The following is a 20,776-nucleotide window of genomic DNA, read 5'->3' as shown; positions in this document are numbered from 1 at the left end:
ATAAACAGTTAAAAAGAAAACCCTGCTTATTTAAAAGTAATTTTTTTCCTGATGGTCTAGAGCATAATTAATGGGACAGATAAACTTCTTCCCTAAGACCTAAGGGGCTTAGTGAAGGTGAGATAATAAAAATGTATTCGTTTATTATTTATTTATTTAATCAGAAGCTCCTTTTTCTTGGGAGAGGAAATCAGTAGAGGCTACACAGATATATAACAGTAATTTAATTTCTTTTGAGTGGTGCTGTTAGAGTTTGGGGTATTTTTTAAGAAAATCATTAAAGATTAGTATTATTTGGTTCAAACTGTTAAAGCAGAAACATTTTCTTTATTAAGAATAACTAATGTCCAAGAACACATTTTGATGCATATTGTGGCCAGCTAAGGGCTCCAAGAGAAGCAGCATCGAGGGGAAAAGCAGACTGGGGAGCAGGGAAGGAGTGGGAGACTCAGGGCTGGCCATGGGAATAGGCTTAGAGGAAGAGAGAGAAAGAAGTAGAGGGTGAAGGTGCTAAAATATTATTCAGTTTGCTTTGCATATGTCCCATAGGTGAAAATGTGAAATTATTTTTTCTCTGAGTAGAAATCAGTTTGTTTGGGGACAGTATGGCATAGTCAGTAAGAGTCTGGGTTCTAGAATCAGACCTACAGGAACCTAATATCAATTATGCGATCTACTTACTTCATGTGGTTTTTGGAGGATTGCATATAAAGTTCCAGGCATGTAGTACTCAATAATTATTAGCTGCCTCTGTTGTGGTTGCCGATGATGATGATGATCAAATAGGGGACCTTTCTTGGCTCACAGAGCCTTCCTATGCAAGGTATCAGGACAGCTAGCACTAAATTCAGAGTTGATAGCAACTTAAATAGCTGTGTGATCCTTGGCATCTCCCAGCACCAACTTTATTATCTGTAAAATGAGCATAATGATGTCTTTCTTACCAGCTTGTTGGGAAAAATCTCATGAGAAAATATATGTGAAAGTGACATAAATTTTATATAAAGTACTATGCAAGTATAAAGCATTTTAATGTATTTTCTCTTACATTTTCATAAGTCATTTAATTCTTCCTCAAGCCATATCCGTCTTAAAAAATTTTTTTTCTCACCTCTTTTTAAGTCCCAAACTTCACTGTCTACCAGCGTGGTTCATATATGTGAGAATAATCCTAGAAAGGCACCTCTGTAGCAGAAAAGGCAAGCACACGTCACAATTTATTTCATAAGATAGGAAGTGCCCCTAACTTCCAGACAGTCTTCTGCATGCTCAAAAGTTCCCTCCAGATGTCTAGAAAAATCTCTTCCGGGCTGATCGCGATGTCTCACGCTTGTAATCCCAGCACTTTGGGAGGCCAAGGCAGGTGGATCACCTGAAGGTCAGGAGTTTGAGACCAGCGTGGCCAACGTGGGGAAACCTCATCTCTACTTAAAATATAAAAAATTAGCCCGGCGTGATGGTGGGCCCCTGTAATCCCAGCTACTCGGGAGGCTGAGGCAGGAGAATCACTTGAACCCAGGAGGCGGTGGTTGCAGTGAACCGAGATCGCGCCATTGCACTCCAGCCTGGGCAACAAGAGGGAAACTTCGTCTCAAAAAAAAAGAAAAAGAAAAAGAAAAATCTTCTCCAACCTCTTCATCCACATTTGTCAGTCACTCACTTTACTTCAAGACCAGTTGAGTTGCCACTTCCTAATGGAAGCCTATTGTAACACCTAGTCTGAATTACTATAATTTCCTGCTCTGGGCTCATGTTGCCCTTTGAAGATATATATTATAGTACTTTTCGTATTTTATTGTAGTGTTTTCGTTTTTACATCTGTCTTCTTTAGCCAGCAAACACTATCATCTTGGTTTTTCTGTGTGTGACTGACAGATAGCATCATAAATACTCATATATTTGGTTGGTTTCTTTTTTTATTTCGTGAATCAGTCAATCATTTAATGTAAACTTGCCCCCTTTATTTTACATCTGAGCAGATATAGGCTAAGGAGCCTAACTGAGTTGCCCAGTATTAGACAAGTAAATCACAGGCAGAGTCAGGACTAGAATACAGTACTCAGGTTTTAGATTTGATGTTCTTTTAGGATGGTTGATGAATGGTCTGTTCCTAAAATATCAACATGCTGAAGGGCTTGGCACTATCATTATGGGTGAGCACAAAGATATTATTGCTATCTGAAACTTAAGGAATGTAAAATATCTTTTAAAGTATTACTTATAATGAAATGAATATGAAATTTTCCTATTAGCAGTGCCCTTTTAAGGAATAAATGCTATTATTTTTCTCTGTTGATGCTTCTGTAAACCTCCTCTTAGGGCAATTGGTCAGTTTAATTACTTTTTGTTACAGATGACATTTACTGTGTAGGTCGCTATTTCTAAATACTTTAAGTTATAATGTGGAATCCTCATGTATATTAATTTTTTTCTTGCTCTCTCCAGGTTTCATTGCTTCAGACATGACATCAAGACACTCCAGTACCCAGCTGTGGTTAATTACACATTATCATGAAATGGGATCGTTGTACGACTATCTTCAGCTTACTACTCTGGATACAGTTAGCTGCCTTCGAATAGTGCTGTCCATAGCTAGTGGTCTTGCACATTTGCACATAGAGATATTTGGGACCCAAGGGAAACCAGCCATTGCCCATCGAGATTTAAAGAGCAAAAATATTCTGGTTAAGAAGAATGGACAGTGTTGCATAGCAGATTTGGGTAAATTTCTAAAAATATTTTTTTCCTCACCAGTTTTATTTTTGTTTCAATGGTTAGGTGAGTTGCATCTCTCCCCCACAACATGTTATGCAAAATTTCAAACATGCAGAAAAGTTGAACATTTACAATGAACACCTTTATACCCACCACATAGATTCTCACATTAACATTTTACTATCCTTAAGCATTATTATGTATTTATTCATCTATTCATCTCCCCATCCATCAGTCCATATCAACCTTTGATAGAGTTGAAAGTAAATTGCAGACAAAGGAATTCTTTCTTCTGATGATTTCAGCATGTACACTAGTATATCATTGACAAGAATGCATTATTTGCTTTTTCTTTTTTTCAGGTAAAATTTATATACTGTGAGATATACAAATCTTAAGAGTTTTGACAAATGTTGTAAAACCCAAATCCCTGTCGAGATACAGAGTTTCCCATTACTCTTGACAGTTACCTCAGGCTCATTCAGTCAGTCCCTGCCACACCCCACCTCAGAAGTAACCAGTACTGTTGCATTTTGGTTTCACTAACCTTCACATAAAGTAGGTGCACAATAAATACTCTATAGAATTAGTTTATCTTAAAAGTGGTCTCTAAAATCATTCTGTAACCAAGGCAAAAGAATCAAGTTAAGAAATAGGAAAATAATCCCCGAACTGATTCACTCTTTTCCCTGTTAGGATAGCTCATTCTTATGGTGTTAGAGTAGTACTCAGTGTAGCTTTAGTTGCATTATAAATAAGAGTATTTTCATTTATAGTGGCATTTTATATAAAACCATGTTCTTCCTGGATTCCTAGAATATTGGCTAAATAATTGTGCTAATGAGAATTCAGGGCCCTCTACTTGATTAAACATGGTTTATATGATATTTATATTATTGCAATTATTGTTAGCCTGATAAAGGTTTAGACAAAAATAGCTTTAGTTATGTAAATAACAAAGTTTATTTTTGTTTGTTTTTAAACATAAGGGATTTGACATGTTAGGAAAATTTATTTCCTTTGAATCCCTTTAAAGTCTTTGCTTTTACATTGAGAAATTACAATGTTTCCCAAGTAGGAGACGAAAGATTTTAGGATAAGCATTGAAAGAGCATGGCCCTAAAGTTTTTTGCAGGCATTTTTAGTTGTGGTGTAGAGGACTTTTATGGCTTATTCCATGGCTCTTAGAGCCAGGGCGATTTGGGTTTAAATTCTGGCTTTCTCAATTACCCTGTATTTTTGTGCAAGTCTATTTATCTATTTACCTGGCCCAAGTGCTGACACTGCTTTCACTCAGTGAGACAGGGACAGTGAGGGCGAAGGCGGATGGGGTTGGGAGTTAGCCAAGAGGAACTCCAGGGCTTGACGCTGTGCCCTGTACTTCTGCGTTGTTAGAAACTTGCATAACAGTGTGATCGTGGCCGGGCGCGGTGGCTCACGCTTGTAATCCCAGCACTTTGGGAGGCCGAGGCGGAAGGATCACTTGAGGTCAGGAGTTCAAGATGAGCCTGGCGAACGTGATGAAACCCCATCTCTACTAAAAATACAAAAAAAAAAAAAAAAGAAAAATAATAATAATAGCCGGGCGTGGTAGCGTGCGTCTGGAATCTCAGCTACTGGGGAGGCTGAGGCAGCAGAATTGCTTGAACCCAGGAGGCGGAGGTTGCAGTGAGCCGAGGTCGCGCTATTGCACTCCAGCCTGGGCGACAGAGCGAGACTTCGTCTAAAAAAAAATATATATATAGTGTGATCATATATTACTCATGTAACTAAAAAATAAGCCCACCTCACCGGATTCTGGTAAGGCCCAGAAGTATTATAAATGTCTGGTAAACAATAAGGATTCAAGTTGTAGCTTCTGTTATAATCCAGTGGTCTGGGGAGGGTGGACAAATTGAGGTGGCTCTTGGTTTTGGTTTATGGGACTTGGTAGGGAAGGAGTTGAGGGGAACTTTGCAGTAAGTCCAGCTAATTAATTCTTCAACTACATTTCTTTTGGCTTGTAACCTTCCAATTAGATATATGGGTTTGTATAAAAATCTGTTAAGGCGTTATTATTCAGGATATGGTAAAACAATGCAGTGCAGGAAACAACTCTTATAAGACCATAATTTGTATATAACTTACCAGTATATACCTAGCAATTAAGGATCATGTATTAGAAATAGTGTTCTATGATTAATCCTGCAAAAAGATCAGTATTATATTGATTAATTGATTGAGAGAGGATCTTATTCTGTTGCCCAGGCTGATCATAGGTCACTGCAGCCTCGATCTACTGGGCTTAAGCAATCTTCCTGCCTCAGCGTTCCAAAACAGCTGGGACTACAGGTGTGTACCACCACACCTGGCTAACTTTTTTTTGTTCTTAGTAGAAATGAGGTCTCACTATGTTGCTCAGGCTGATCTTGAACACCTGAGCTCAAGTGACAATCCCATCTCGGCCTCCCAAAATGTTGAGATTACAGATGTGAGCCACTGTGCCTCGTCTGTTTTTCTTTTTATTATTAAAAAATTCAAATGTTATAATGATCACTTAAATCCCGAACACCTAGATTCAATAATTGTTAAAACTTTGTGATGTTTGCTTTATCAATCTGTGACCATGTGTATATTTTTGCCAATCCATTTGAAAATAAAGTGTTACAGGCATCACAACACTTTACCCCTCAATACTTCAAAATTCATCCCTTGAAAATACTTAAAAATGCATCTTCTTCATAATCAGTTTTTCATATCTACAGATTATTGATAATTCTCTAGTATCATTTTATATTCATTTTCAGATGTTTTCAGTTTTTTCAAAGAGGAACTCAGCCAAAGTTTACAAATTGCATCCGGTTGTTTTGTCATCTTTAGTGTAAAAATTACTTATTACTAAGAACAAATCACCTGTAAAATTTAGCATCTTAAAACAACACAGATTTGTTATCTCACACAGTCTCTTGAGAGTCAGGAATCTTGGAATGACTTAGCGGTGTGGTTCTGGCTCAGGGTCTCGTGGAGGTTGCAATCATCTGAACGCTCAACCAGAGCTGGAGTTTCCAACTCTGTGAGGACACACTTAAAGCCATGATTGGCGGCAGGTCTCAGCTCCTTGCAGGGGGACCTCTCCACAGGGTTGCTTGAGTGTCTTTATAACATGGTGCATGGTGAGCTGAGAGGGACAAACAGGAAGCCTTTTATAATTTTATAACATCTGTTATATCCTAACTGTGAAGATACCCACTGTCACTTATGCCATAGTCTATTCAATAGTCCAGCATACACTCAAGGGATGGGGAATTATGCCTCACCTGGAGATCCTAGCAGTGGTGGCTTTAAAATATGTCCACAAGTTCTTTGAAGCTTCTCCCATCTTCAGAATATCTCCATGTTCTATTTAACCTGCACCTTTTAAATATTCTGATATTTTGACTGTTTGGTTCTGCAAATGGTGGAGGGGCATACAGTAGTCCCCTCTTTTCCCTGAGAAATACCTTCCAATACTCCCAGTGGATTCCTGAAACTCAGGATAGTACCAGATTCTATATATACTATGTTTTTTCCTATTACATACCTATTATAGTTTAATTTATAGATTAGCTACAGTAAAAGATGAACATTAGTAACACTAAAATGGAACAATGATAGCAGTATGCTATAATAAAATTTATGTGAATATGGTATCTCTCTCAAAATACTTAATTGTACTGTACTTACCTATTTTTGGACTGTAGTTGACTGCGGGTAACTGAAGGATAAGTGGGGGGACTATTGCATAGGATTTGGGAAATGTTCACAGTGTCCATAGAATCTTGGGGTTGATTATAAAAATAGGTGAAAGAGGAACCTGTCTGTTTTAGTGTAATGCAGTTGCCAGTATCTTTGCTAATTATTAAGGATGAGATAAGGTGTGCTAGCTCCCTGATGTTATATGAAATTGTCATCCCCCACATTCAAAGCCGTGGAGTGGAAGGTGAAGCATTCTCTGTAGATGGCTTGAGAGATCAACAAGGGATATTTGCATTGCAGTGGTTTACAGGGACTGCTTGCTCCAATTTGGCACTTTTCATTACAACAAATGTTATAGGAATCATTTTCAGTCAGTCTGCATATGCATCAGTAACATAAAATCATCCACAAATAAAGCATGCATGTATGTGTCTCCCCACTGGCCAGTGAAGAAAGCCTGTCTCCCTAATTGACTGAGGAATTCTGGAATGAGTCATGGTTTAAGAAAGCATTTGAAAGCCATTTAACCTGAGAGTTGTGCTTTCAATTGAGGTCCAGTTAAATGCTGTCTGTTTCCATGATTCTAGAGAAAAGGCCTGTGGGTTTGGTCAGCATTACTGCTCAGATAAGCAGCTCTTCCTTTAGGAATAAAGCAGTGCTTATAGCAATCTGCCCTTTATGTAGTGATAAATTACTTTAAATGCTCTATCTCACACTGTTGGAAATTTGTGTTTGGAGACTAGTGAGAGCAGTGGTGGAGCTTGAGAGCTTAATTTGCTTCTTGTTAAGCCACTTAGAGGCTCACATTTAACATGTGAGCCTGTTTTCCTGTGGACCTCAAACACAGGCCACATTGGTTTAGTGCATTGGTCTACAATTTACCCAAAACTTTTTGTCTCTTTGAGGTTCATATATTAACCTGATAGCCTTAGAATGTTTCTGACATTTAGTCCCTTTTCTGCTCTCACCCCGGAAATAATCACAAAGGGCATTCTAGGGATCATTCTGAGTGTATTGCAACAGTGACCCTGGATCCACAAGAGGGCACTTTTGATTGGGGTTGGTTTAAAATCCTTCAGCAGCCTCTTATGAGAAAGGAAGTGGGTTGATTACATTGTTATCTTCTTCCTTTCAGGCCTGGCAGTCATGCATTCCCAGAGCACCAATCAGCTTGATGTGGGGAACAATCCCCGTGTGGGCACCAAGCGCTACATGGCCCCCGAAGTTCTAGATGAAACCATCCAGGTGGATTGTTTCGATTCTTATAAAAGGGTCGATATTTGGGCCTTTGGACTTGTTTTGTGGGAAGTGGCCAGGCGGATGGTGAGCAATGGTAGGTATCTAATCTAATATAATATTGTCTTAATCCAAGTTCTCTTGATCCAGCTACCTTTAAAAGGGCTGAAGGGACTATTGAAATTCACATTGTTCTTTGAATCGTACGTGTCGAGTTATAGGCATTCATATTTGATTTATGGCTGGTAGATGGAGTGTAATGGCTTTTATGTTTGAAATATACCACAGTAAGTGATGGTTGAAAACCAGTATTTCTGGAAGAGACCAGCCATTCCTTGGTTTTTCTTTGGATTTGTTCCAGATTTCTTTTCTTTTAAATTTTTAAAATTGATACGTAATACTTGCGTTTATGGGGTACATGTGATATTTTGATAAATGTATGTAATATGTAGTGCTCAAATCAGGACATTTAGGCTGTACATCACCCTGAACTTTTATCTTTGTGTTGGGAACATTTCAAATAGTCTCTTCTAGCTATTTTGAAATACATAGTATATTATTGTCAACTATAGTCATGCTACTGTGCTATTGAACATTAGAACCTATTTTTTCCATCCAGCTCTTATGTTTATAGCCATTAACCAACGTCTCTTCATCCCACTGCTATCCTCACCCCTATTCCCCAACCTTCTCAGCTTCTGGTAACTATGATTCTACTCTCTACCACCATGAGATCAACTTTTTTAGCTCCCACATATGAGTGATAACTGGCTGTATTTATCTTTCTAGATAAAAGATTATGTCACCTGCAAAGAGGGACAATTTGACTTCCCTTTTTCCACATTGAATGTATTTTATTTCTTTGTCTTGCTTGATTGCTCTGCCTAGGACTTCTAGTACTATTTTGAATAAGAATGGTGAAAGTAGGCATTCTTGTCTTTGTTCCAGTTCTTAGAGAAAAGGCTTTCAGCTTTTCCCCATTCAGTATAAATTTACCTGTGAGTTTGTTGCATATGGCCCTTATTATGTTGAAGTATGTATATTCCTTCTGTACCTGCTTTGTTGAGAGTTTATATCATGAAGGGATGTTGAATAGACACAGAACTTTTTCTGCATATATTGAGATGATCATGAGGTTTTTGTCTTTGATTCTGTTGATGTGATGTATCGCATTAATTAATTTGCATGTGTTGAACCTTCCTTGCATCCCAAGAATAAATCCCACTTAATCATGATGTGTTATCTTTTTTATGTGTTGTTGGATTCAGTTTGCTTGTATTGTGTTTAAGATTTTTGCATCTGTGTTCATTAAGGATATTGGCCTGTAGTTTTCTTTTTTTGTTGTGGTTTCCTTGTCTCGTTTGGTATCAGGGTGATTCTGGACTCAGAATGAGTTAGGGACAATTCAGTCCTCTTCAATTTTTTGGAATAGTTCAAGAAGAAGTTCTATTTAAGTTTGGAAGAATTCAGCAGTAAAGCCATCCAATCCTGAGGTTTTCTTTGTGGGAATACTTTTTATTACCGACTCCATCTTGTTATTCATGGTCTGTTCAGATTTTAAATTTTCTTTTGGTTCCATCTTGGTAGATTATATCCATTTCCTCTAGGTTTTCCAATTTGTTTGTAATAATCTCTGATGATTTTTGTATTCTTGTGGTATCAGCTGTAATGTCTTCTTTTTTGTTTCTGATTTTATTTATTTGAGTCTTCTCTCCTTGTTTCTTGGTTAGTGTAGTTAACAGTTTATCAGTTTTCTTTACCTTTCCAACAAACTAACTTTTTATTTCATTAATCCTTTGTATGATTACTTTTTGGTCTCTATTTTGTTTAGTTTTGCTATGACCTTTCTTATTCTATTAATTTTGGGTTTGGTTTGTTCTTGCTTTTCTAGTTCCTTGAGGCCCATCTTTAGATTCTTTATTTGGAATCTTTCAGCTTTTCTGATGTAGGTATTTATTGTTACAGACTTCCCTGTTACCAATTCTTTTGTTGTATCCGATTGACTTTGGTATGTTATGTTTCCGTTTTTATTTGTTTCAAGAATTTTTTTTATTTCCTTCTTAATTTCTTCATTGACCCAGTGGTTGTTCAGGAGTGTGTTTTTGAATTTCCATGTGTTTGTACAGTTTCCAGAGTTTCTCTTGTTACTGATTTCTAGTTTTATTCCACTTGTTGAGACTTGTTTTGTGGCCTAACATATGGTCTATTCATGTGCTGATGAGAATAATGTGTAGTCTGTAGCTGTTGGATAAAATGTTCTGTAAGTGCCTGTTAGGTCCATTTGGTCTAAAGTACATTTTAAATCCAATGTTTCTTGGATTTTTCTGTCTAGATGATCTGTTCAGTGCTAAGAGTAGGATGTTGAAGTCCCCAACTGTTATTGTGTTGGAGTCTATTTGTCTCTTTAGGTTTAATAATATTTGCTTTGTATAAAAATGCTCCAGTGTTGGGTGCATATATATCTAGAATCATGATATTCTCTCTTCCTTTATGATTATACAGTTGACCTTGCACATCACAGGTGTGAACTGCATGATTTTTTCAACCACACGTGAACAACAACAACAACAAAAATACAGTATTTGTGGGATGCAAAACTGAGTATATAGAGGGCCTACTTTTTGTATCTGTGGGTTTCACAGGACGAACTGTGGTATTGAGTATCTATGTATTTTGGTTTAGACTGGGGTCTTGGAACCAATCTTCCATGTATACTGAGGGAGCACAGTATACTGACCTTTTGTGGTCTCTTTTTACAGTTTTTGGCTTAATGTCTGTTTTATCTGATAGAAGTATAGCTACCTCTGTTTGCTTTTGGTTTTTATTTGCATGGAATATCTTTTTTTATCCCTTCACTTTCAGTCTATATGTGCCTTTACAAGTGAGGTGGGTTTCTTGAAGACATCATGTAGTTGGGTCTTGTTTTTAATCTATTTAACCAAGTCTATATTTTTTAATTGGGGGGATTTAATCTGTTTACATTCAAAATTATTATTTATAGGTGAGGACTTATTTCTGCCTTTTTATTAATTGTGTTCTGGTTGTTTTGAATATCCTTCATTTCTTCTCCTTTTACTGTTTGTTTTTGTGTGTGTGTGTGTGTTTGTATATTTTCTCCTTAAATTTGAATTTTTTCTCCTTCTCATTTTTGTGTCTGCTCTACCAGTGTTTTATGCTTTCATGTCTTTTTGTGATGGCATATATCACCCAGATATAGCATTTCCTTATGTGTTTCTTGTAGGGCCAGTCTAGTGATGATAAATTCCCTCAGTTTTTGTTTATCTGGGAAATACCTTATTTTTCCTTCATTTGGAAAGGATAGCTTTGTGTTGAGTGTAGTATTCTTGGCTGACAGTTTTGTTTTTTCTTTCAACATTTGAATATGTCATCCCATTCTCTCTTGGCCCGTGAGATTACCACTGAGAAATCCACTGTTAGTTTGATGGGAGTCTTTTATATATGACTTGATGCTTTTCTACTGCTGTTTTTAGAATTTTCTCTTTGTCATTGACTTTACAAGTTTGACTATAATGTGCCTTGGACAATACCATTTTGGGCTGAATCTTTTTGGGGATCTTTGAGCTTCCTATATGTGGATGTCTATTTATCTCTTGAAAGATGTGGGAAATTTCAGCTTTTTTTGGGGGATAGGGATAAGTTTTCTATGCCTTTGCCCATTTATTTTCCTTCTGGAAAACCCAAAATTTGAATATTTGGTTGTATAATGATGTCCCATATATCACGTAGGCTTTGTTCATTCCTTTTTGGTTGAGTGTTTGTTTGTTTGACTGGCTATTTCAAAAGACATCTTTTCAAGTTCAGAAGTCTTTCTTCTGCTTGATTTAGTCTCCGGATTGCATTTTTAAATTTCCATTCAGGTTGCTGTGAATGCCATTAATTCATTCTTTTTATGGGTTAGTAGTATTCTATTTTATATATATATATATATATATATCAAATATATATATATCTCAAATATATATATCTCAAATATATATATATAAATATATATAAAAAATACGTGTAGATAGATAGATAGCTCACAATTTCTTATCCACTTGTTGATTCATGGACATTTGGGCTAGTTCCATATTTTTGCAGTTGCAAACTGTGCTGCTATAAATGTGTGTACAAGTATCTTCTTCGTATAGTGACTTCTTTTCCTCTGGGTACTCAGTAGTGGAATTGCTGGATCAAATTGTAGTTCTACTTTTAGTTCTTTAAGGAATCTCCAGTGTTTACCATAGTGGTTGTACTAGTTTACGTTCCCACTAGCAGTGTAGAAGTGTTTCCTTTGTGCCGCATCCACGCCAACATCTGTTATTTTTTGATTTTTTGATTATGGCCATTCTTGCGCAAGTAAGTTGGTATTTCATTGTGGTTTTGATTTGCATTTCCCTGATCATTAGAGATGTTGAGTATTTTTAAAATATGTTTGTTGACCATTTGTATATCTTCTTTTGAGAATTGTCTATTCATGTCCTTGGCCCACTTTTTGATGAAGTTGTTTTTTTCTTGCTAATTTGCTTGAGTCCCTTGTAGATTCTGAATAATATTCCTTTGTCGGATGTATAGATTGTGAAGATTTTCTCCCACTCTGTGGGGTGTCAGTTTACCCTGCTGACTGTTCCTTTTGCTGTGCAGAAGCTCTTTAATTAAGTCCCACCTATTTATCTTCGCTTTTATTGCTTTTGCTTCTGGGTTCTTGGTGATGAAGTCTTTTCCTAAGCCAATGTCTAAAGGGTTTTTCCAGTGTTATCTTCTAGAATGTTTATGTTTCAGATCTTAGATTTAAGTCCTTGATCCATCTTAAGTTGATTTTTATATAAGGTGAAGGATGAGGATCCAGTTTCATTCTCCTACATGTGGCTTGTCAGTTATCCCAGCACCATTTGTTGAATAGGACATCCTTCCCCACTTTATGTTTTTTTTTGCTGTGTCAAAGATCAGTTGGATGTTAAGTATTTGGGTTTATTTCTGGGTTCTCTATTCTGTTCCATTGGTCTGTGTGCCTATTTTTATACCAGTACCATGCTGTTTTGGTGACTGTGGCCTTACAGTATAGTTTGAAGTCAGGTAATGTATTATTTCCAGATTTTTTCCTTTTGCTTAGTCTTGCTTTGGCTATGCAGGCTCTTTTTTGGTTCCATATACATTTTAGGATTGCTTTTTCTAGTTCTGTGAAGAATGACGGTGGTATTTTTATGGGAATTTCATTGAATTTGTAGACTGCTTTTGGCATTATGGTTACTTTCACAATATTGATTCTACCTATCCATGAGCATGGGATATGTTTCCATTTGTTTGTGTCATCTGTGATTTCTTTCAGCAGTGTCTTGTAGTTTTCCTTGTAGAGATCTTCTGCTTCCTTGGTTAGGTATATTCCTAAGTATTGTATTGTATGGTACGGTATGGTATGGTATGGTATGGTATGGTATGGTATGGTATGGTATTATTTGCAGCTGTTGTAAAAGGGATTGAGTTCTTGATTTGATTCTTAGCTTGGTTGCTGTTGGTGTATAGCAGAACTATTGATCTGTGTACATTAATTTTGCACCCAGAAACTTTGGTAAGTTCTTTTATCAGTTATAGGAGCTTTTTGGAGGAGTCTTTAGGGTTTTCTAGGTATACGGTTATATCATCAGCAAACAGCGACAGTTAGACCTCCTCTTTACCAGTTCACATGCCCTTTATTTCTTTGTCTTGTCTGATTGCTCTGGCTAGGACTTCCAGTATTATGTTGAATAGAAGTGGTGAGAGTGGACATCCTTATCCTGTTACAATTCTCAGAGGGAATGCTTTCAACTTTTTCCCTGTTCAGTATAATGTTGGCTGTAGATTTGTCATAGATGACTTTTATTACATTGAGGTATGTCCCTTGTATGCCAGTTTTGCTAAGGGTTTTAATCATAAAGGGATGCTGGATTTTATCAAATGCTTTTTCTGCATCTGTTGAGATGATCATGTGATTTTTGTTTTTATTTCTGTTTATGTGGTGTATGACATTTATTGACTTGCATATGCTAAACCATCCCTGCATCCCTGGTATGAAACCCACTTGATCATGGTGGATTATTTTTTTGATATGGTGTGGGACTTGGTTAGCTAGTGTTTTGTTAAGGATGTTTGCATCTATGTTCATCACGGATATTGGTCTGTACTTTTCTTTTTTTGTTATGTTCTTTCCTGGTTTTGGTATTAGGGTGATACTGGCTTTATAGAATGATTTAGGGAAGATTCCCTCTTTCTCTATCTTGCAGAATATTGTCAGTAAGATTGGTACCAATTCTTCTTTGAATGTCTGATAGAATTCGGCTGTGAATTCATCTGGTCCTGGACTTTTTTTTCATTGGTAATTTTTTAAATTACCATTTCAGGCTTGCTGCTTGTTATTGGTTTGTTCAGAGTTTCTAATTCTTCCTGGTTTAAGCTAGGAGGGTTGTATATTTCCAGGAATTTATCTATCTCCTCTAGGTTTTCTAGTTTATGCACGTTAAGGTATTCATAGTAGCCTTGAATGATCTTTTGTATTTCTGTGGTGTTGGTTGTAATATTTCCCATTTCGTTTCTAATTGAGCTTATTTAGATCTTCTCTCTTCTTTTCTTGGTTAATCTTGCTAATGGCCTATCACTTTTATTTATCTTTTCAGAGAACCAGCTTTGTGTTTCATTTATCTTTTGTATTTTTTGTTTCGATTTCATTTAGTTCTGCTCTGATCTTGGTTATTTCTTTTCTTCTGCTGCGTATGAGTTTGGTTTATTCTTATTTCTCTAGTTCCTTGAGGTGTGGCCTTAGGTTGCCTGTTTGTGCTCTTTCAGATGTTTTGATGTATGCATTTTAAGGCTATGAACTTTCCTCTTAGCACTACCTTTGCTGTATTCCAGAGGTTTTGTTAGGTTGTGTCACTATTATCATTCAGTTCAAAGAAATGTTTAATTTCCATCTTGATTTCATTGTTGACCCAGTGATCATTGAGGAGCAGGAGATTTAATTTCCATCTATTTGCATGGTTTTGAAGGTTCCTTTTGGAGTTGATTTCCAATTTTATTTCACTGTGGTCTGAGAGAATACTTGATGTAATTTCAGTTTTCTTAAGTTTATTGAGACTTGTTTTGTGGCCTATCATATGGTCTATCTTGGAGAAATTTCCCTGCATTGATAAATAGAATGTATATTCTGTGGTTGTTCAGTAGAATGTTCTGTAAATATCTGTTAAGTCCATTTGTTCTAGGGTATAGTTTAAATCCATTGTTTCTTTCTTGTCTTTCTGTCTTGACCTATCTAGTGCTATCAGAGAAGTATTGAAGTCCCCCATTATTATTGTGTTGCTCTCTATCTCATTTCTTAGGTCTAGTAATAATTGTTCTATAAATTTACTAGCTCCAGTGTTAGGTGCATATATATTTAGGATTGTGATAGTTTCCTGCTGGACAAGGCTTCTTTTTTTTGAGATGGATTCTCGCTCTGTCGCCCAGGCTGGAGTGCAGTGGTGCAATCTTTACTCACTGCAACCTCCACCTCCCAGATTCAAGCGATTCTCCTGCCTCAGCCTCCTGAGTAGCTGGGATTATAGGCACCCACCACCACACCCAGCTAATTTTTGTATTTTTAGGAGAAACAGGGTTTCACCATTTTGGCCAGGCTGGTCTCAAACTCCTGACCTTGTGATCTGCCCGCCTCGGCCTCCCAAAGTGTTGGGATTACAGGCGTGAACCACCACACCCGGCTGTCAAGGCCTTTTATCTTTATTTAGTGTTCCTCTTGTCTTTTTTAAATGATGTTGCTTTAAAGTTTGTTTTGTCTGATACAAGAATAGCTACCTCTGCTTGCTATTGGTGTCCATTTGCATGGAATATCTTTTCAACCCCATTTACCTTAAGTTTATTTGAGTCCTTATGTGTTAGGTGAGTCTCTTGAAGGCAGCAGATAGTTGCTTGGTGAATTCTTATCTATTTTGCAATTCTGTATCTTTTCAGTGGAGCATTTAGGCCATTTACATTCAAGGTTAGTATTGAGATATGAGATGCTATTCCTATTCATCATGCTATCTGTTGCCTGAATACCTTGGTTTTTTCAAAATGTATTTATGGTATTTTTTTGTTTTATAGGTCCTGTGAGATTCATGCTTTAAAGAGGTTCCGTTTTGATATGTTTCCAGGATTTGTTTCAAGATTTAGAGCTCCTTTTAGCAGTTCTTGTTAGTACTGGCTTGGTAGTGGCGAATTCTGTTAGCATTTGTTTATCTGAAAAAGACCGAATCTTTCCTTCATTTATCAATCTTCGTTTCAAGGGATACAAAATTCTTGGCTCATAATTGTTTTGTTTAAGGAGGCTGAAGATAGGGCCCCAATCCCTTCTAGCTTGTGGGGTCTCTGCTGAGAAATCTGCTGTTAATCTGATAGGTCTTGAATCATTTTTTGGATTTCCTTAATTTGGACTTCACCTTTCTCTGGTGCCTCCTTGATTAGCTTAATAAACGACCTTCTGAATTCTTTTTCTGGCAATTCAGGAATTTCTTCTTCTTGGTTTGGATCCAGTGCGGGTGAGCTAGTGTGATTTTTGGAGGTTGTTAAAGAACCTTGTTTTGTCATATTACTAGAATTGTTTTTCTGATTCCTTCTCATTTGGATAGGCTATGTCAGAGGGAAGGTCTGGGGCTCAAGGCTGCTGTTCAGATTCTTTTGTCCCACAGGGTGCTCTCTTTATGTAGTAGTACTCTTCCCCTTTTCCTAGGGATGTGGCTTTCTGAGAGCCAAACTGTAGTGATTATTATTTCTCTTCTGGATCTAGCCACCCACACAGGGCTACCAGTATCCAGGTGGTATTGGGGGGTGTCTGCACAGAGTCCTGTGATGTGAACTGTCTTCAGGTCTCTCAGCCATGGATACCGGCACCTGCTCTGGTGGATATGGCAGGGGAATGAAATGGACTCTGTGAGGGTCTTTAGTTGTAGTCGTTTGATGTGCTAGTTTTGTGCAGGTTGGCTTCCTGCCAGGAGGTGGCGCTTTCAAGAGAGCATTAGCTGTGGTAGTATAGGGGAGGATCAGGTGGTGGGCAGGGCCATAGAACTCCCAAGAGAATATGACCTTTATCTTCAGCTACCAGGATGAGTAGAGAAAGACCATCAGGTAGGGGCAGGGTTAGGCGTGACAGAGCTCAGACTCTCCTTGGGTGGGGCTTGCTGTGGCTGCTGTGGGGAATGGGGTTGTGGTTTCCATGTCAGTGGAGTTATGTTCCCAGCATTATGGCTGCCTCTGCTGTGTCATGCATGTTGTCAGGGAAGTAGGGGAAAGCCAGCAGTTATAGGCCTTACCCAGTTCCCACACAACCCAAAAGGCCTGTCTCACTCCCACTGTGCTCCCCACCCCCTCAACAGCACCAAGTTTGTTTCCAGGCAGTGGGCCAGCAGGGCTGAGAATTGCTCCAGGCTACCAGCTTCCCAGCTGAGAAAGCAAGCAGGGCTTGCACGCCTTCCCACCTGTCGAGTCTGGACACCGGATTCCTGCCCTCCCCTGAGTTCGGGCAAGGAAACTTTGCATTCGGTTAGAATTTTTACACAGTTCAGCTGGAGGTTTCCATCTCCCCGTGGTCTTTTCCCAGTTCCTCCGGCAGCCCTTCCCAAGGACCGCTGTAAGACAAGTCAGAAATGGCTTCCCCAGGGACCAAGAGAGCCCATAGGGCATTTCCTGCTGCTTCCTGTGCCCCTGTATTTCATTCAGCTCTCTAAATTGTCTCAGCTCCAGGTAAGGTCAAATCCTTCTTCCATAATCTGGACCTTCAGGTTCCCCAGTGAGGGTGTGTGTTTGGGGGTGGACAGTCAGTCCTCCTTTCCCACTTTCACAGTTTGGGCACTCAGAGTATTTGGACTGTCTCCCAGGTCCTGCAGGAGCAGTCCACTTCCTTCAAAGGGTCCGTTGATTCTTTCAGCTTTCCTGGTATATTCCTGGAGTAGTTATTGGAGCAAAGGTTTATGGTGCGAGTCTCCACACGTTGCTCTGTCCATCTAAGTGGGAGCTGCAATTTAGTCAGGCCTCCTATCTGCCATCTTTTCCCCAACCTCTGTTTGATTTTTTTTTTTAATGATACCCATTTCTTTAATTTGCCACAGATCGTGAATTGTTTTTCCAATTTATTTGTGTATTTTTAACTTGTGTTCTCTTATATCTCACTGAGCTTCTTTAATATTATTTTGAATTTGTTTTCGGGCATTTTACCTATTTTTTCTTCATTGGAATCTGTTGCTGGAGACTTATTGTGTTCCTTTACTGTGTCATGTTTCCTTGTTTTTTTCATGTTCTTTGTGTCTCTACGTTGATATCAGCACATCTGGTATAACCTTTGTTTCTCCCAATTTTATGGTTTGGTTTTTGTAGGGAAAGACTGTCTCCTATATTGGGTTGGTAGGGCGCTTTGGTTTTGATTCTGGGTGTGTTCACTAGTGTAGTATCCATATGATTACTTCAGCTGTAATTGGCATCAGTGGTGTCTGTGAGTCCTTTTTGGTTTAGGCTGAAATTAATGGAGGCTGTGGTGAGGGTTTTCTTGGGATAGGGATGCCAGGAAGACTGGTCCTTGGGCACAAGTGGTTGTGGCGGCAAGCCAGGCATGCTGGTCCTCTGCTCCTGGATGGCATATGTGAGCACCAATGGAATCGAATGCAATGGACTCATCCTTGTGTCTCCAGGCATCTTGCTCAAGGGCCAGCAATGGCAGCGGTGGTAGACAGGCTCATCATCAGGCTTCTGGGTGGCTTGTGTGGCATTGATGATGACAGTAGTGGAATGGGCCAGCCATTGGGCCTCCAGGCAGCAAGCTTGGGTACCAGCCTACTGGGAAGGCCAGTCCTCAGGTCCCCAGGAGGCATGCTCAGGCTCCAGTGGTGACCAGCAGGGCAGGTCATTCCCTAGGCTGTCAGATGATGTGTGTGCGGGTGCTAGCAGGCTGGGCGGGCTCATCCTCAATCCCCCAGAAGGTATACACACACACCAGTGGTGGCAGCAGGCTGAGCAGACAATCCCTAGGCACCCAGATGATGCACATGGGCCCTGACAGGGGCAGCACTGGGCGGGATGAACCTGTCCTCAGGCCTCCCATTGGTGCACATGGGTGCAGGCTGTGGTGGGTGGAGCAAGTTGATCCCTAGACCCTTCGAAATTGTGCTTAGGCACTGCAAGTGGTGACTCTTGGTGGCGGAAGCCTTTCTTCAGACCTCCAGATGGCATGCTTGGGCCCTAGAGGTGAGTGGGGCAGGCCTGTTTTCAGAGCCCCCTGATCGTGCCTGTAGACACCAGGGATAGTAGGTGGACTGGTCCGTATTTCATTCTTGTCTTTCTCCAGCTTCCTGTTTTACCTTTCTTCCCACCCTCCTTCCTTTTTTGTTCTTCTCACAAGGGAGTTTTAACTTGAGGAGAATGATCAAGTGAATCTGAGGGTGAATTCTGCTATTTTCTAGGTATTTTGACTTGTTAAGTTTGGATTGTTGAGAAAAGTCTCAGTTTTTGCACTCAGAAGTCACTTATTTATAATGAGCAGACTGTACCTACTGAAAGAGTCAAATTTAAATGCAGGAAGCCCTGGATAGATGGCCTATGTTGATCTGTTTATAAGTAGTTTTATTAAATGGTGATGCCTTAGCAGTTAAAGAAGCACTTGTCAATCATTTTTAACCTATGTCCCCCACAGTGCGCTCTCACCCTTGCCTTTCATGTACCCAAATCAGCCACAAATATACTGTTGAACTTTACTTTAAGTACATTGTATTCTGAAAGCACTAAGTATACTCTTTCAAATTGGGCATGCCCCAACTACCCACAAAGTGGTTTTTATAGCAGAATCCCTTGAATTAACTAGATGAACCTCTTCATATCTTCACAACTGAAAATCTTATTTCACAGAGCATGTGTCTGAAACTATTCCAGGAAAACAGAAGAAAATGCCATATATTTAGATTAATGTTCATTTCCAAAAGATGCTTTACATTTTAGCCTCCTGTGACCCATTGGAGTCCTGGATTAGAAGAAATAATGCATGAAGTCTCTAATAGCTGTTTCCATTCCACATTCCACTGATGTTTTCTCCTAAGGATTGAGGTTTGTGGGCAATCATAATTTTCATGAATAGCACAGCCAGAGATGAGGACTTTCTGTGAGGTAGTGGAATTGGGGTAATTTATATAGTTTTAGTGTACAATAATTAAAATTGGCATGCCTTTAGGTGGTTTTTTTTCCTAATAGCAGAGTGGATCTGCTTTGAACAAACCTTCTGAGGGTATCAAAGTAGGTGTTCAGATTAAACATACATGGATTGTAAATTGACAGTTCTTTTTAAAGTTGTTTTTTTTTTTTAATGGAATCATGAACGTTTTCTTGGTAATTGTTTCTCAACCACTGGGAGCTGCTGCCTTGCAGTTTCTGCCCTTGATGCCCCTTGAGAATTGTTTGCAACAGAGAAATTGTTTTGCAGATTTATAAAGTTCTGAACTTTGCCTGAAATTGCACGTCAGCTTCATTTCCTCACCCCCTCCCCAATCATTCTTAAACACCTTCGAACTGAAAATTTTAATTCTGATTAGTTTATCTTAACAAACAATTTAGAGAAGGATTGGTGTCCAAATAAACTGTATGATGTGGAACTTGCCCCAAATGAAGAGGAAGTTGGCATTCCATAGCTAGACAGTAGCATTTCCAGCTGTGGGGGTGCCAGAGCTGAGCCAAGCAGGCCTGCTCAGCAGAGACTTGGGATTCAGGCTTTGTAAGAACTCGTGTTGCAAACCCGTTCCCTGTGTTGCAGGCATAAACCCAAGTGGCTTTTAAAGATCAGCTGTGATTAATAGTAGTCAGTTGGAAGTCAGAGTCATCAGTTTAAAATTTAGCTCAACAAATGGTGGCTTGCTTGGTAGTTCCTGTGTTTAACATTATTTTTGGAAGAAAAAGAAAAAAAAGGAAGGTAGAGGAAGGGAGAATGTTTTGATTGTTTTCTAATTTATTGATCTCTCCCTTGCATCATCACCAAGACTGTTAACTGGTTCCCAGAATGTTGTGGGTTGAGCTTCTGTGCTGTAATGTGGTTTGATTTTTTTAGAGGGGAGATAAGGGTATCTCCTGTCTCATT

The 20,776-nt window shown here is 38.8% G+C and overlaps 1 protein-coding gene across 7 annotated transcripts in view, besides 5 other annotated features; it reads left to right on the top strand.

Annotated features, from left to right (window-relative positions):
- The window catches only part of ACVR1 (activin A receptor type 1), a 139,885-nt gene that overhangs the window by 107,689 nt on the left and 11,420 nt on the right, over window positions 1-20,776 (top strand). For all 7 annotated transcript variants that reach the window (NM_001111067.4, NM_001347665.1, NM_001347664.1 and 4 more), the window contains 2 exons: window positions 2,446-2,721; window positions 7,565-7,762. In NM_001111067.4, the coding sequence (NP_001104537.1) occupies window positions 2,446-2,721; window positions 7,565-7,762 (474 nt within the window). The remainder of the gene's footprint in view (window positions 1-2,445; window positions 2,722-7,564; window positions 7,763-20,776) is intronic.
- Window positions 6,672-7,263: an enhancer, noted in NCBI's record as "NANOG hESC enhancer chr2:158617891-158618482 (GRCh37/hg19 assembly coordinates)". NCBI's record gives its function as "activates a minimal SCP1, AML or CMV promoter by ChIP-STARR-seq in primed H9 embryonic stem cells {active_cell/tissue: H9 hESC(primed)}" and the evidence as "EXISTENCE:reporter gene assay evidence [ECO:0000049][PMID:30033119]".
- Window positions 8,181-9,001: an enhancer, noted in NCBI's record as "OCT4-NANOG hESC enhancer chr2:158616153-158616973 (GRCh37/hg19 assembly coordinates)". NCBI's record gives its function as "activates a minimal SCP1, AML or CMV promoter by ChIP-STARR-seq in primed H9 embryonic stem cells {active_cell/tissue: H9 hESC(primed)}" and the evidence as "EXISTENCE:reporter gene assay evidence [ECO:0000049][PMID:30033119]".
- Window positions 16,582-17,081: an enhancer, noted in NCBI's record as "H3K4me1 hESC enhancer chr2:158608073-158608572 (GRCh37/hg19 assembly coordinates)". NCBI's record gives its function as "activates a minimal SCP1, AML or CMV promoter by ChIP-STARR-seq in naive H9 embryonic stem cells {active_cell/tissue: H9 hESC(naive)}" and the evidence as "EXISTENCE:reporter gene assay evidence [ECO:0000049][PMID:30033119]".
- Window positions 18,166-18,675: an enhancer, noted in NCBI's record as "H3K27ac-H3K4me1 hESC enhancer chr2:158606479-158606988 (GRCh37/hg19 assembly coordinates)". NCBI's record gives its function as "activates a minimal SCP1, AML or CMV promoter by ChIP-STARR-seq in naive H9 embryonic stem cells {active_cell/tissue: H9 hESC(naive)}" and the evidence as "EXISTENCE:reporter gene assay evidence [ECO:0000049][PMID:30033119]".
- Window positions 18,676-19,186: an enhancer, noted in NCBI's record as "H3K27ac-H3K4me1 hESC enhancer chr2:158605968-158606478 (GRCh37/hg19 assembly coordinates)". NCBI's record gives its function as "activates a minimal SCP1, AML or CMV promoter by ChIP-STARR-seq in naive H9 embryonic stem cells {active_cell/tissue: H9 hESC(naive)}" and the evidence as "EXISTENCE:reporter gene assay evidence [ECO:0000049][PMID:30033119]".

The sequence above is a fragment of the Homo sapiens genome, chromosome 2, assembly GCF_000001405.40.
Source record: "Homo sapiens chromosome 2, GRCh38.p14 Primary Assembly".
Classification (NCBI taxonomy): Eukaryota; Metazoa; Chordata; class Mammalia; order Primates; family Hominidae; genus Homo; species Homo sapiens.
Note: the sequence above shows the minus strand (reverse complement) of the source record. Positions and strands in the feature narration are given on the sequence as shown.